At 36.0% G+C, this 16,249-nt stretch overlaps 2 long non-coding RNA genes across 2 annotated transcripts in view; both read left to right on the top strand.

The window, feature by feature from the left end:
- LOC107986525 (uncharacterized) overlaps window positions 1–5,697 on the top strand; it is a 28,005-nt gene extending 22,308 nt beyond the window's left edge. Inside the window, exon 3 of the long non-coding RNA XR_001743825.2 lies at window positions 2,609–5,697. This is a non-coding gene — a long non-coding RNA (uncharacterized LOC107986525). The remainder of the gene's footprint in view (window positions 1–2,608) is intronic.
- The window catches only part of LOC285762 (uncharacterized), a 38,756-nt gene that overhangs the window by 8,387 nt on the left and 14,120 nt on the right, over window positions 1–16,249 (top strand). The window contains exons 2-3 of the long non-coding RNA NR_046100.1: window positions 10,460–10,493; window positions 13,202–13,319. This is a non-coding gene — a long non-coding RNA (uncharacterized LOC285762). The remainder of the gene's footprint in view (window positions 1–10,459; window positions 10,494–13,201; window positions 13,320–16,249) is intronic.

The following is a 16,249-nucleotide window of genomic DNA, read 5'->3' as shown; positions in this document are numbered from 1 at the left end:
TGATCAAGATGAGGAAGAACAGTCCAGGCAAAGGGAAAAACCATGTGCAAAAGCATAGAAGGGCTGGTTGAGGTGGCTCATGCCTGTAATCCCAGCACTTTGGGAGGCCAAGGCAGGTGGATAACTTGAGGTCAGGAGTTCAAGACCACCCTGGCCAACATGGTGAAACCCCGTCTCTACTAAAAATACAAAAATTAGCTGGGCGTGGTGGCAGGCACATGCTACCCGGGAGGGTGAGGCACGAGAATCGCTTGAACCCAGGAGGCAGAGGCTGCATTAAGCCAAGATCGTGCCACTGCACTCCAGCCTGGGTGACAGAGTGAGACTCCATCTAAATAAATAAATAGATTGTTTAAAAGTACAGAAGTATAAAGGAGCAGGTCATTTTGTGTGCCTGAACAAAGGCTACTAAAGAGAGCCTTGCCTGAAATCTAATAAATGCTAAAGATGCCTGTTAGTAGTGAGGATGCTCCATACGGAGACTATATTACTGGATTGCTAATATTTTTAATTAATGACTACTCTTTGTTTATTTTTCATTAACCTTCCTCAGTACTATTAATTCAGAATAAACTCTTAATTCAATTTTTGTTTGTGTCAAGGAATTGATGTTTCCCCTAGCCAGAAGAAAGTCCCTTCCCACTGTCTCTATGTATATTTTGGATACACTATATAAGAACACAAATGATTGAAGTCCAGACTGCACAAACCCCAAGAGAATGCATTTTCCAACTCCAGCAGACACTCTATTTGACCAACATACCAGACCTATTTTTCAGATGTTACACCCTTCTGCAATAAGTAGGAGGAAAAACTTCTTTCAGTTCTGTGTTTAATCAAAACAAAGAATCCATACTAGATATTTTTTCTTACTAAACACTGCTAAAATGCATTATTATGCCAAAGAACACATCTTTTCTATAATTTAACTGTCGCTGAAAAAGTATAAGTTTTCCATTCATATTCAGTTTTTGAGTATTCAAATCACTCTTACTTTTACATATATTTGAGCTTCAAAACAATCTTGGAAGGTCCTGAAGCTCAAAACAGCCTCGTAATACTATCCCTATTTTTATAGACAAGAAAATCAAAGCTGAACATATGTGGCTTACCCAAATTCGCACAATCTTTATGACCAAAACGTGCTGCTCACAAGCCAGTTTAGCTGCCATCTAGTCTAGGGAGCCTTCTGGAAACTTTCAAGTCTAAGTGTCCTTTCTTTGAGTCCTCATTGCCCCCTGCCTGTCCCTACAATACCACTCATTTTACCAGGGCTTCTCAAACTTTAATGTGCCCACAAATCACCTTAGAATCTTGTCAAAAATGCAGTCTATGATTCTGTTGATTTGAGAGTGGGGCCTGAGATTCTGCATTTCTAACAAGCTCCTGAGTGACGCTGATGCTGCTGGTCTGAGGACCACACTTTGGGAAATAAGACATTGCAGTGTATCCTCACAGCCTGGTTATATTTCATTCTCTTCCACTCCACCGTATGTTCCATAGGGCCATGAACTATGCATTGTTAATCATAACATGTCCAGCATTCAGATTTGACAGTCTGTAAAATCTCAATAAATATGAAATGAATGAATGAGTGAATGAATGAGCAAATGAATGAATGAATGAGCAAATGAATGAATGAACAAATAAATAAGTGAAATCCATGTTTTCTAGACTACAGTTTTTTCTACTATATCATGCTGAGTTGTAAAAACATAGGCCAAGTCTATCCTTCCCTTTTAACTGCCACATTAAAGGTAAACAACAGCTGCCTTAAGAAAACTCAATATCTCAGTGGCTTAACACACTGAAGGGATTTTTTTTTCCTTTTCCTACTCAAGGTAGGAAAGGAAAGGTAGGGAGTGCTCTGCTCCACTCAGTCATTCAGCATCCAAGCTGACAGAAGCTATATCAACTTCAATATGAGGCTTTCAAGGTTATCCCATAATTTAATATCTAACTGGCACATGAGGCCTGGAAATAACCCATCATTTCTGCCTCCATTCCAAAGTAATATGGGAAACGTAGTCTTTGATTGGGTTATAACTCATATACACTAGAGAGGGGAGTAGGAGGCTTAGATGGGCAAAGATCTGTCTATTCCTCTATAAGCCCCCAAGGCCTCAGCCATGACTACCCATTCTTCTTCAATTGTACTTCACACTTTCCCAGATTTTATAGCTGAATTCATGATGTTCCTTTTTCCTGGAATTCCTTTACCCTGAACAAGCTCTGTCTTTTCAAATCCTACTCATCTTTCAGTGCACATCTCAAAAGATATTTTTTCATGCAATTTTTCCACATCTTCTAAACAAATGTTTCTCCCTTCTTTTTGAATCTATTTCTTTGTACTCCTCTGAGAATCTCTAGCACATTCTGCCATGCCTTTCAGTTATGGGTGTACTTACAAGCTCCCTCCTCCACCAAAAAAAAAAAAAAACAGGAGCTATGTCATAATCAGCTTGGTAGGCCTCTTGGCATCTAGCCATAAACCTTACTTACAGCAGTAACTCAGTAGATATAGGCATTTTTGAGTTGAATTGAAAATATATCTAATAAATACAGAAAGCTTATCTGGTAACAACCTTGCTCTATGTTTTTCCAACAGAGAAGACAGCTATAACTCCAAAAGTGAGAGAAAGTAGAAGACATGCCAGTGCTCAAAAGCTACAAATGTAACCAGAGCCGTGGCATAAAATGAAATACTTCTGGTTCATATACTTCCACTGAGCAGCATTGCATTTTATACACTTCTTCTTTAATGGTTCAGACATATAGTTCTTAACATCACATGGAGACTCATAACCTTCAGAATACAGCATGAATCAGCTGGCTGCACTGCAAAGAGAATACAAAATACCATCAAGAATGTCCTAACTGGAACAGTAAACTTTTAAAGTACAAACAACTCATCTGTTAGCAGCCTGGCATTTTGCTTTCTGGAAAGTAAATACATTAGAGAGATATCTTTAAAGAGAGTCTATTACCTGTGTAAGTCAGCAATTTTCAATCATGACTGTAGCAGATCCAGGTGAGAGACACTGCGACCTGGCCTTATAGCAGGACCAATAAGCATAAGCAATCCCTTGGTCCTAAGATGAAGACTTACTAATCATTAGTTCTTGAATCTATAACTTCCTTAGGTTAGGTCAGATTTGTCCTCGCTTACTCAGCTTATGGGGCGTGGATTCTTATATAGCCAGTCTATAGAGAGAGTATCAATAAAGTCATAAATCTGGGGGAAAAAAAAGTCCTCATTATCGCACCTGTCTGGTTTTTCAAAATCTTGCCTAAGGTGGTCTGGTTTGCTGAAGGGTGCTCCAGGAAGTGCAGTCTCCAGGTGTAACAGCCTCCCAAAGAAACAGTCTCTGTTTTGGCTGGAGGAAATTGTTGATTTTCCTCTGAAGCCTGGAATCAGCAGTTCTCTGCTGCTAAAACTCCTGCAGGGTTTTAGGGGCAAGTAGCTACTTTAGAATTGAGCAGATGGGGTAAAGGAGATAAGGAAATGTAGTTTAGAGAGACTTCCCACGAGAAGGCATCCTTTTCATTCCTTAAACTTCCCACCACCACCTCACACACAAGTGAAAAACGGGTGCAGAAGAATATACGGGGGAAAAACGGTAAGCTTGGGCAAAGTTCCCTGCAGAGGGAGAAGAAAAAATAGGATGAGACTTAAGAATTTTATAGTCCTAAACACTGGAAAAATTATGGCGAATTCTTCCCTGCCCCCAATAATTATCATGTGAATCATTTTGATCTTTATTTGTTAACAGTAATATATAAAACATAATACTTTTTCCAAACAATTTTGGATACCATCATTTTATGGTTGTACTAAGGACAGCTAGTCCCCTACAGGAGTCAGAGACTTTAGGAAGTATTTAAGACCTAATTCTATGGTTATCTTCTCAAAATATAGGATTCCTGGGAGCTATGACAGGTAATCTAGCAAAGTGAACTTATCAGTTAAACTTAATAGTTAATTGGCCAGGCACAGTGGCTCACGCCTGTAATCCTAGCACTTTTGGAGGCCGAGGCAGGAAGATTACTTGAAGTTAGCAGTTTGAAACCAGACTGGCCAACATGGTGAAACCCTGTCTCTACTAAAAATACAAAAAAAAAATTAGCCAGGCGTGGTGGTACATGCCTGTAATCCCAGCTACTCGGGAGGCTGAGGCAGGAGAATCGGTTGAGCCTGGGAGGTGGAGGTTGCAGTGAGCTGAGACCACCCCAGAGCACTCCAGCCTGGATGGCGACAGAGCAAGACTCCGTCTAAAACAGAAAAAAAAAAAAAAAAAAAAAAGCTTAATAGTTAATTTATCCATTAAACTTAAATTATCAACTAAGGACACTATAAGTGCTTTTCATATGGCTGCACAAGATATTGCAACTGATACCAAGGTGAGTAAAGCAGCAGTCCCTACCTTCGAAGGGTTAGTTGCCTGTTTAGAAATTTTTATTATGGTTTTAAAGTGAGGATAAGCTGCAGAAAGGCATTTTAAGTACAAAAATAATTGTAGGTCACACAGGAATCTAATTTATAAAAGAAAAGGGAGCATCTGGAGGATTCAGAAGAGGGAAAGCAGACACCTGGTTGGATGGAGTAAGAAAAGACTATAAATGGGAAGGATTTCTGAAAAGACTTAAGACTTGAAGGATGGCATGTGTTTTGTCAAAAGAAAACAGAAATGAGGGAAGTTGTATGTAAAAGAACAGCATAACCAAGAGCATTCATGTCATCATTATCATCATCATAACTGACATTTACTGAATACTTAATTTGTATGAGGCTTTGTGCTAAATCTTTAACGTGTTAAATCCTGTAATCTTCATAATCACACTACAAAGTCAAGTCTATTATTATTCCCAGTTTACAGAAGAGAAAACTGATACTCTGGTTAATTGCCCAGGGCCATATAGCTAAAAGCAGTGCAATCTGAAATTGACCAAGATTCAGGTAACCATGAGAAATCTAGTGTGAATAGAACATTTAGCATACACATCAATAAATAAAAAGACTAAGTCTAGAAATGCAGATCAGGATTTCCCAAGGCTCCATATGCTGGATTAAAGGTTTCATGCTTAGTTGACAGGCAATGGGCAGCCATTGCAGGGTTATGAGCAGGTTTTTACGTTACCCAATCTGTCAACACATGGAGTGGAGACATCATGGAGGGGAGAGGTCTAGGGATACAGTGAGACCAAGAAGTCCTCTCAAGTTTTTCAGGTAAGAAGCAAACTTAGAGTGAAATTTTTGTTAATGAAATGAGGTAAGAGATAGGAGAAACACAAAAGGTCAAATCTACAGAACTCGTCAACTAATGGATTGAGTGCTGGAAGTGTTACAGAAAATAAGAAGTCTGCAACAACTTGGAGAGCTGGGGTCTTGCCGCTGAACTGATGGTTTCATAAACAGAAATTTGTAAGTTAAGATTGTTGAAAAGAAGATAATGCCTATGCAGTGCTCTTTTTGCTGCTCTTCCTCTTTGCTCTTCCTCTTCCTCCTCCTCATCATCATCATCACCATTACCATAGTCACAGTTTACAAGTAGATGGCATTTCATCTATGCCAGGCATCATTCCAAGCCTTTTACACATAGTAACTAACACTAAATGAAAGCCCATAAGGTACATACTAATAATATTGTCATTTTATAAATGAGAAAATATTTAGAGATAGAGGTTAAGTGACTTGTCCAAGGTCACATCATTAATAAATAAGTAATAGAGTCTGAGTAGTCTGACTCCAAAGTCCACCTTGAAAATTTTTAAAATTGAGTGAGGGACAGACATCAAAACGTTGTTTTTGTTGGAAGAACTTTTCTTCTTGGTGTTCCTCAGTAGTGTACATAGGGGAAATTAGGATCAATAAGCAATCACCTACTTGTAGGGAGACCTTTAGCCCTCATATTGCAGGATATCTGTACAAAAGCCTTTCCTCTTTTCTCTAACCCAATTCACAGGTGGCCAGGATTTTTTTCTGCTTGCACCTTCCAGTGCTCCATTAATTTTCCAGGGGCAGCCTGTCTGTATCTCTCTCCTTCATGCGCGTAATCCTCATTCTGCCCTTTATAAATAATAGAGATATTCTCTCCTCTTCAGAATAGAGTCTCTGACCTTTTGCACTTTCATTCTTCTGATCCGATACATCTGGGCAATGTATGACTCTGCCTGGGTTTCCTCTTTTCTTTAACAAGGCAATTTAAAAATATTTACACACAGAAAGAGTGTTTCACATGTGTCAGAGAGCCCAGCTCCTGCTGTGGTGCTGGCTACAGAGAAATTGTTTTAATTTTGCTCAATTCCAGACTCCTCCAGTGAATTGGGGCGATATATTTATTTTTCTTGTTTCTCTTTCCCTTGTTCCAAAACAATGGAGTTGAACCACTTGGTGCCATGAGAAGGGGCTGAAGAAAAGGAAGGCAGTGTCCAAGGTGAGGAGAAAAGGAAAAGGAAGAGGTTGGCAAGTGAGAAGTCCGCAAAGGGCAGCCTGACATCTGGTAGTCCGAGGGGGCAGCTGGCCTGGGCCTTGTGTTCTGACTCCAGGGAATGTGAAATGAGCTGATCAAGATTTGGAGGAAACAGGCAAAACAACGTTACATATCACTCTGGCTAATATACATAGCCATAGGACCTCAGGCACATAAGCCACATGGAGACAAACACTAACTCTAAAGCCTCAGAATGTTCTTTCCTAATTGACTATGATAAATATTTGTAAACATACAAAAAGTCAAAAGATTGGCACATTGATCATAAGTATCCTAAATTTGACAGTTGTAAATATTTGTTAGCATTTGACTGTGTTTGCTTTCCCTGTGTGTATACACATATATATATGTATTTATATATGCATATGTTTCACTGAACCATTTCAAAGTATGTTGCCAACATCTTGACACTTAACTCATAATCCCTTCAGTTTACCTCTGCTAAAAATGAGAACACTCTCCTTAATAACCATAATACCATGATACATCAAAAAACTAAAAGATATTTTAATGTCATCTCTTATCTAGATAATATTCAAATTCCCATATTGTGCCAAAAACATATTAGCAGTGTCTAATCTAAGTTCAACTTTGCACTTGAGTGTTCTATCACCTCATTTTTTAAATTTTCTTTTTATTGAAGTGTAACAAGTGTACAGAAAAATGCAACAAATCCTGTGTCTAACTCAATTTTCACAAAGTGAACACATGTAACTATCACCCAGACTGAGAAATAAAATATTACCCACACTTCTCTCTCCCCAGTAGTTTGGCTCCCCAAAGGTAACCACTGTTCTGATGTCAATTACTATCCATTATTTTTGCCCATTTTTGAAGAGTATGTAAATAGACTCATACAATATGTATTTTATTTTGTCTGACTTCTTCTGAGCAACGTTTGTGAAATTCGTCAGTGTTATTGCATGTAGTAGTGATTTCTTTATTCTCATGTTATATACTACTACATTTTGTGAATATTCTACAATTGATTTGTTCACTCTTGATTGGCCATTTGGATATCCTTTTCTCAAATGCGTGTTCAAGTCTATGCATATTTCTAACTATGTTGTCTATCATTTTCTTATTGTGAATTGGTTTTATACTGAGAATGTGTCTTTATTAAATATGTATCCCAAGTATGTTTACCCATGGTGGCTCGCCTTCTCATTCTCTTAACCGTGTATTTTTCAGAGGCGCTGTTTAGTTTAATGAATTCCAATTTATCAATATTTCCCTTTATGACTAATGCCTTTTGTGTCCTCTTTAAGATAAACTCTCTGCCTACTCCAAAGTCACAAATATATTCTCCTATGTTGTCTTCTGTGAGCTTTATTGATTTACCTTTTACATTTAGAAATATAATCCATCTGCATTTGATTTTTGTGTGTAAAGTGACATACAGGTGAGATTCACTTTTTTCCACATGGATATCCAATTGAAACATTCCATTCATTGAAATGACCATTCTTTTCTCTCTTCACTGCTGTCAATGTCATCATATATCCGGTGATCAGGTGACCACATACTAGTAGGTTTATTTCTGGACTTAATGTGTTACATTACCCTATTTATTTATCCTCCAGCTGATACAACATTGTCTTAATTACTATAATGTTGTAGCAAATATTAAAATCTTGTAGTGTGTATCTTAGCTTTTTTTCTTCTTCAATTAGAAAAACTGACTAATACTTTGAGTATTTTCGGCCCTCTGAATTTCCATACATAATTAAGATTTTAACTTGTCCATTTCCAGGAAAAATATTGTGCTGGGATTTTGATTGTTTTTTCACTGAATCCATAGACCAATTATAAAAAATTGAAATAGTTACAATATTGAAATTTCTAATCCACAAACATAGAATGACTCTCCATTTGTCTGCTTTCATTTCTCTCAATAATGTTTTTGTAGATTTATGTATAAAATCCTCATATAGCTTTTGTTAGATTTAATTATAGGTATTTGATGATTGCTGATGCTGATGTCAATATTTTTATTATTTTCTTTGCAATTATTTGTTGCTAGTATAAAGAAATACAATTGAATTTGTACATTCACTTTGTATCTAGAGTCCCACTTAAGTTGTCTTATTTGAATAGTTTGACCATAGACTCTTTTCTATTTTCTATAATGTTTAGATTTCTATGCCATCTAAGAATAAAGACAGTTGTATTTCATGCTTTCCAATCCTAACACCTTTTTCGTGCTTTATTGCTCTGGCTAAAACCTCTGTACAGTGTTGAAAAGAAGAGGTGGTAAGGCAATCCTTGCATTGTCTTAATCTCAGGAGAGTTTTAAATAACTCACCACAAAATAGAATATTTACTATATATTTTTTGCAGATATCATTTATCAGGTTAAAGAAATTCCTCTTTAGTCCTAGTTTTCCATGAGGGGCGGGGGTGGTGGTGTTAGTTTTATTTTAAATCATGAAATGACTGTTGAATTTAGTCAAATATATTTTACTGCATCTATTGAGATGAGTATGTGATTTGTTATTATTCTATTAATGTGATTTATTACATTGACTGATTTTTTTCATGTGAAGCCAACTTGCATACCTGGAATACCTGGAATATACCCAGTTTACTGTTAATACCCAGTTTACTGTTTATGTATTATCCTCTGCATATACATTACTGGTTCAAATTGCTAGCATTTTGAGTAGAATTTTGCATCTACATCCTTGAGAGAAATTGGCCTGTATTTTTACATCTTTCTCACATTTTAGTATCAAAGTTACGCTGGCTTTGAAAGGTAAGTTGGAAGGTGTTGCTTGCCATTCTATTCTCTAGAAGAGCTTCTTAAAATTGATGTTATTTCTTTAAGCATTTCAATTTCACTGATGAAGGCTCTGGACCTGGAGATTTTGGGGATGGGGGGAAGGTGTTTGTGTATAAATACATGTAGGACTATTTATATTTAATTACCTTTTGTATAATTTTTGGTAAATTATAAGCTTTAATTTTATCTATACTACCAAATATATTGACAATATATCATTATTTTAATATATGTCTGTGGAAAATTTAGTTATTTCCTCTAATGCCTAATTGTAGTCATTTGTACTCTCTTTTTTCCTTGATCAATCTTTCTTGGGGTTTATCAATTTTACTAATTTTTCAAAGAACTAAATTTTGACTTTGGTAATTTTTCTCTTATTTTATTTTATTAATTCCTATTTTACATTAATTATCTTAATCTTTCTGCTTTTCATGTTTAATTTCCTGTTATCTTGTAACTTTTGTAATGGATACTTATATCATTGATTTTCAGCTTTTTTTCTTTTATAGTAAAGCATTTAGAGCTATAAATTTTCCTCTTAACACAGGTTTGGTTGCATTCCACAATTTTTAATATGTCTAATTTTCAAAATTATTCAATTCAAAATATTTTCATTGCCATTGTTATTTCCTCCTTGACCCATGGGTTGTTTCCAAAACATTTGGGGTGTTCTAGTTATCTTTATATTATTGAATTTGAGTTTAATTACAATGTGTTCAGACACAAAGATTGTACTCTCAATGATTTTAATCTTTCAAAATGTGGAGACTTACTCTATGACATATTATATGCTCAATTTTGATAAATGTTTCACATGCATTTAAACGAAGTATGTGTGGTGCCATTGTTGAGAACAGTGTTTCATATAAGCCAGTTAGGAGCATCAGAGAAAGAAATATGATGAGAAAAGCAGAGGTGAGAGTGATATGATTGCTGGAATAGGGTCACAAGACAAAGAATGCAGGCTGCAAAAGGCAAGGAACAGATTCTCTCCTCTACCCTCTAGAACGAATGCAACTCTACTGATACCTTAATTTCAGCCCCATAAGATCAATTTCAGATTTTTGCCTGAAAAAACTGTAAGATAATACATTCATATTGTTTTAAGTAATGTTTTTGGTGGTTCGTTACAGTATCAATAGCAAACTGATACACTTAATATATTTTTTTGATTCACTTTTTTCAGGTTTGTGCATACTTATATATACATGATGTCTCTTGTAAGTATCACAGAGAATTTTTTAAATATAATCTGACAATCTCTGTCTTTTGATTGGAGTATTTAGATCCCTTTTATTTACTGTGGTTACTGATATATTTAAGTTTGGATCTATTATTTTACTATTTTTTTATTTAGTCCACCTGTTTTCCCTCCCTTCTCTCATTTCTTGCTTTTCTTTGGATTTAACCCGTATTTATTTTATAATTCTACTTATTGTCCTCTGTTAGTTTCTTAGGTATACTTTTTATATCCCTAGAAATTACTACATGCCTTTTGAGTTATTAGGACTAAATTAGTACTATTTCCACTTCCCAAACCATATTATGATCATAAAAAAAATTTAACATCATTTCCCCCTTGCAAACTTTTGTGCCAATATTGTCATAAATGTTAATTATGCACATATCTCTTATTGCTTTGTACAACCAATATTTATTTAGGTTTTCTTTCATACAGTCAGTGCTTCTATAATGCTTGCTTTGAAAACATGAATTTGTTTTAATGCAATTGATATACTAGAAAATCACTTTAGTATAATGTAAATTTTGCATTTGCTTTTGCTCAATTTTATCCATGAGAAACACAGGTGAATGCAAAAAAAGAAAAACTGTGCTCAGCTTAACTGAGCAAAATAAAATATAAAAATGTACACAGGTATTCATCTCAAACATCTGTCAGCTGCCTCAGTTCACCATGTGTGTTATGAGCTATATCCATTACAACTTTTTGTCAAATTTCAGATAACCTTACTTTCACCACTTCACAAGCTGCAAACTTTCTGATACCCACGTTCACACACACACAAAGTTTTTTTCAAGATAAAACGCCATATTTATTGTAGAACTGATATGTTTCTTAACCACTTAATGTGTAAAACTTTGCTAGTTTTCATTAGGTTTCTGTCTATATTTTCGTGTCAACTATGAAATTTTTAAATGCTGTAAATGTAAACTCATTTTCCCTCTAAGCCTGCGGTTTTCATTATTAATTTTGTATAGTTTTGTGATTTTTAGAAATGTGCTGTAACAGAACTGACTGTATTGACCATTTCTGTTGCTTTTCCTTTCCTTTTGCTGTTGCTGTTGTTGCTATTGTTATTGCTTTCACTTTGTTTCTGCTGAGATTCTTTCTGCCTGGAAAGCTCTCTTTAGTTACTGAGTATTTCTTTTGCATATTTTCTGCTGGTGATAATTTCCTTCATTTTGTCTGGAAATATTTCTTATTTCATCATAATTATGAAGGATATTTCTGCTGTATATAAAATTCTAAGTTGGCAGACATTTTCGTTCAGCTTCTGGTATTTCTTTTAAGAAGCCAGCTGTCAGTCATGTTATTACTCTTTTGAAGGTATTGTGCTTTTGTTTTTTCTAGATGCTAATATCTAATCTATCACTTTGGTTCTTGGCAGTTTTTCTGTTAAGTATTTATCCATGATTTCTTTGTACTTACCTTGCTTTGGGTTGCAAGTGCATTTTGATTTTGTGATGTTGTCTTTCATTGGTTTTGAACATTCTCAGCCATTAATGCTTCTTCTGTTGAAGTATCTACTTCAATCTCTTCTACTCCAATCTCTCTCCTACCCTTCTGTGACTCCAATTATACATATTAGTCCATGCCCCATAAATCTCTTACACAATTTTCTCTACTTTTTATAATTTTTACTTTTAACTCTTCAATCTAGATATTTTGTACTGATTATTTTCCAGCTTATTAATTCCCTTTTCGAGTATGTTCAGTTTCCACTTAAACCCATCTGAGTTAATTAATTCAAGTAATTTTGTTATTATATTTTCTTATCCAGAATTTCCACTTGCTTTTTAACAATTTCAATTCTGTAGTGAAAGTCTTCATTTTTGTCATCTATTAATCAAATATATTAATCTCAATTATTTTTAAGTCTGTATCTAATAAGCCCAATATCTACAGTTCTTTCTTAGCGCCCTTCCTCCTTACCAATTCCTGAACTCCAGTTTTTGTCTCTCCAGCACACGAGGCTGCATAAAATTCCTTTTTACATTCAGTTACTTTTTGCTTAGTTTTTTAGCCTCTTGCCTTGCATATCTTCATCAGTAAATGTCTCAAGTGTTGGGCTCACTTCTCTGTACTTCATTTCTCTCTAGGATCTTGGCTTTTTAAGCTCTGCCTATTATGGCAAAGTAGAATTCTAATTATTTTTGTTTGTTTGTTTTTTATAAACAGAGTCTTGCTGTTGTCCAGATTGATCTCAAATTTCTGGCCTCAAGTGATCCTCCTACCTCGACCTCCCAAAGCAGTGGGATTATAGGTGTGAGCAACCATGCCTGGCCAGAATTCTAATTTTTTATTCACATGGCTATGCAATTGCTTAAAGTTCTGCTGGCCTCATTTTCTCTTGGCTGTCACCTTCTGCCCAGCTTCTAATATTGTGCTCACCTTAGTTAGTTTCCCTTCTTTCTGTTATTCGCTTTTCAAGTCTTGACTGCCCGGACAATTAGCCAAGACTTTAAAACATACGATTTTTCTATTTTAGCTGGATGTTTTAAGCTGTTCCCATCAGGAGCATTTGTCTGCAACAAGTTGTTCATTTATAACCAGTCTTAAGATTGGTTTTCCCACAACTTTTTTTGATATAGTGGCATTGCCACTGGCCTTGTTTCAGCCCAGTATATAAAATTCACCTGGTTTCTTGCTCTTCTTTTCCTACAAATAACTACTTTTCTTGCATAGGGAGCAGAAGAAGAAGCAGAAATGCTGCACTAAGAGAGATTTAAGGCCTAGATTTCATTTTCCATATGCCAGCTTTGTTATATTTCTCCGAGCTTCAGATCCTGTTTTCTAAACTGTGGTAAGTGCATTTAAATCACACACAAAAATTAAAGTAATTGAATCCAATACTCCCTTGGAGACTCATCCATCTCATTTTTTTTCTCTAATGAACAAAAGCATTTAGCCACACTGAGTGAAATGGGGACAGTGATCATATTCACTGCTACCTCCCAGTATCTGATAATGTCCAACCAGCTAGTGACTCCTTAAACCTGGGGAGAAATATTGGGAGACATCCAAACTTCCTTGAGTGTAAGATCACAGGCTGCCATCAGACATGGAATACCGACTAAATAAGAATATGAACTGCAGGAGCCCCAGCTGGGTTCCAGACCATCCATCGCAAATTTAGGTGATCTTGAGCAAGTCAGTCAGACTCTTTAACTCTCTGTTTCTCCTTCCATAAAGTAGTCAAAATAATAGTGCTTGCCTCTTTTGTTTGTTGTGAAGCCTAAATGAAATAAAACAGGTGAAATGCTTCCTCTAGTGCCTGGCCCATTCGGTACATAATAAATGTTAGCAATTTTTATTTCAATCTCAACCCATTAACACTCTAGTAGGACTCTCACAGGGGCACTAAAGACTTAGAGGGACACTAAATCAGTAGGTGGGTGGAGACCCAAATAAACTTTAAATTCTGGACACCTTTGCCCTGAGAGTGGTGAAGAGACTGCAAAGTTACTTCATGACATTTTCTTGCTTCTGTTCCCCAACCACCCAGTCTAAAAGCCAGATGGTAGCAAAGGAAGAAAATATCTGCTGCGTTGGAATAAGGAAACACAATGTATTTGTAAATGTGCTCCTAAGTCATGTTCTGTGGGGGCACTCCAGGTTCCTCCCTCTATGCCTGTCATTGTCTATATTCACTTACAAATATCATTGATCATCTCCTCTGTGTCAGTCACTGGGCAAGGCAGCAAGCATACCAATAAAGAGTCTATGTCAAGTGCCTGTGTTCTATTTTCTGGCATATATATGTCATTTAGTCTTCACTAAGGCCTCTGAAGTACCTACTACTGTTATCCTCATTTTAAAGATTAGGACACAGGCACAAAAAGATTAAGTAACTTGTTGAAGTCACACAGATAAAAATTACCTCATTTTCATGGTGCTCACAGTCTATAAAATAGAAAGTTTTTTAGTACAACATTTTAAAATTCCATTAAATGTAATACTCCCCAAAAGTCAGCAAGTATCCAAGTAATTGGAAGTTAACTTGATGTTGAATTTTTATTTAGGCATTTGGAGTTACGTATTCACAGCCTGTGACTGTGTCTGTAAGTGTTCCTGGTGTCTCTATTTGTCTACGTAAGAAATATAATCAGTTTCCTTGTCTAAGTACTATGACCTTTTAGTGGGCAAAACTGGAATTTTTTTAATGCTATGAGAAATACTAATATAATTCTGGTCTAAAAGAAAAAAAATACTGTGAAGTGTGTTGATGACAAGTGTAAGTACAACATTATTAGAAGTGCTGTTAAGGAAGCTGGAATATTTTGTATTCTGTTAGCAAGATGCCAGCATAACCAAAATTTGTTAAGAATGGCTAAGATATAAAACATAACATGTGAAAGGATATTTAATCACTATAGAAAACTTAAAATTAAGTATAATGCTTAGGAACATATGATTCAGAATATTACTAATTGATTTGCAATCTGGTTAAGAATTTTATTTTTACCAAGCCTGTGTGTGGCACGATTTCCACAGGGTGAATTTAATCAGTGTTGATAATATGGATGAGTCCATGTAGGCTACATCTATCTTTGTACCTTAAATGCCATGCTACATTTTTAAGAAGTAACATAAATATTGTTTTAAAGGAGATCATTCTTAAGAAACCACAATAATCCATCAAGGAAATGTTAGGAAACTGGAGCTGTGTAATGCAGCTTGCCAGAGTCAAAAATGATCTTGGAGTTTCCTTAGGAGCTTTAGGGAAGAAAAGAACTGAAAGCGAAAGTAGTAAACCAACATCTGAGCACCTTCTCTATGTAAGCAACTGTGCTGATGACTCTTCTCCCTATTTTTAAGATTTGTTTTTGTTGTTTCCTGGCCTTTCTCATACTCCCACCACTCCCTCTCCCAATACATACATTAACATATACTATAATTTAAAAATATATTTTATTATATCTTTAATAGCTAGAAGAGTGCCCATCATTTGTGATCAATACATAATTGATAGATGAATATATGAAACATGTGTAAGATACTGCCTGATATGGTTTGGCTGTGTACCCACCCAAATGTCATCTTGAATTGTAGCTCCCATAATTCCCAAGTGTAGTGGGAGGGACCTGGTGGGAGTAAATTGAACCATGGGGGTGGGTCTTTCCCATGCTGTTGTCATGATAGTAAGTCTCAGGAGATCTGATGGTTTTATAAAGGAGAGTTCTCCTGAACAAGCTCTTTCTTTGTCTGCCACCATATTAATATGTGACTTTGCTCCCCATTTGCCTTCTGCCATGATTGTGAGGCCTCCCCAGCCATGTGGAACTGTGAGTCAATTAAACCTCTTTCCTTTATAAATTACCCAGTCTCAGGTATATCTTTATTAGCAGCATGAAAACAGATGAACACACAGCCTATGTTCTTACAACGAGGTAGCACAGGGTAGGAGAAAGAGCACTGAACTGGGAGGGCAGATACGTGGCTCTCATCTTTGTTTGGCCAGTACTTCATTTGCCAACCACAAGCAAAGGACCTCAATGCAAGACAATTAGACTGTCTCTAAGATCTCCTTTTATTTTGAATTTCTGCCATTTTATGTCAGTCTTCAAGTATGTAAAGTGTTCACTTTAATTTATAGAAAAGAGTGTTTGCTCAGAATTGTTCTGGGAGACAGATCTCTAGCAAGATGAATTTGAACACTATTAGCTTCCCTGTGGCTGCTGTAACAAATTAATACAAACTTGGTGGCTTAAAACAAGAAAAACTTAGTCCTTC

The sequence above is a fragment of the Homo sapiens genome, chromosome 6 (assembly GCF_000001405.40).
Source record: "Homo sapiens chromosome 6, GRCh38.p14 Primary Assembly".
In the NCBI taxonomy this organism is placed as follows: domain Eukaryota; kingdom Metazoa; phylum Chordata; class Mammalia; order Primates; family Hominidae; genus Homo; species Homo sapiens.
The sequence above is the reverse complement of the archived record's forward strand: the minus strand, read 5'-3'. Positions and strand labels throughout refer to the sequence as shown.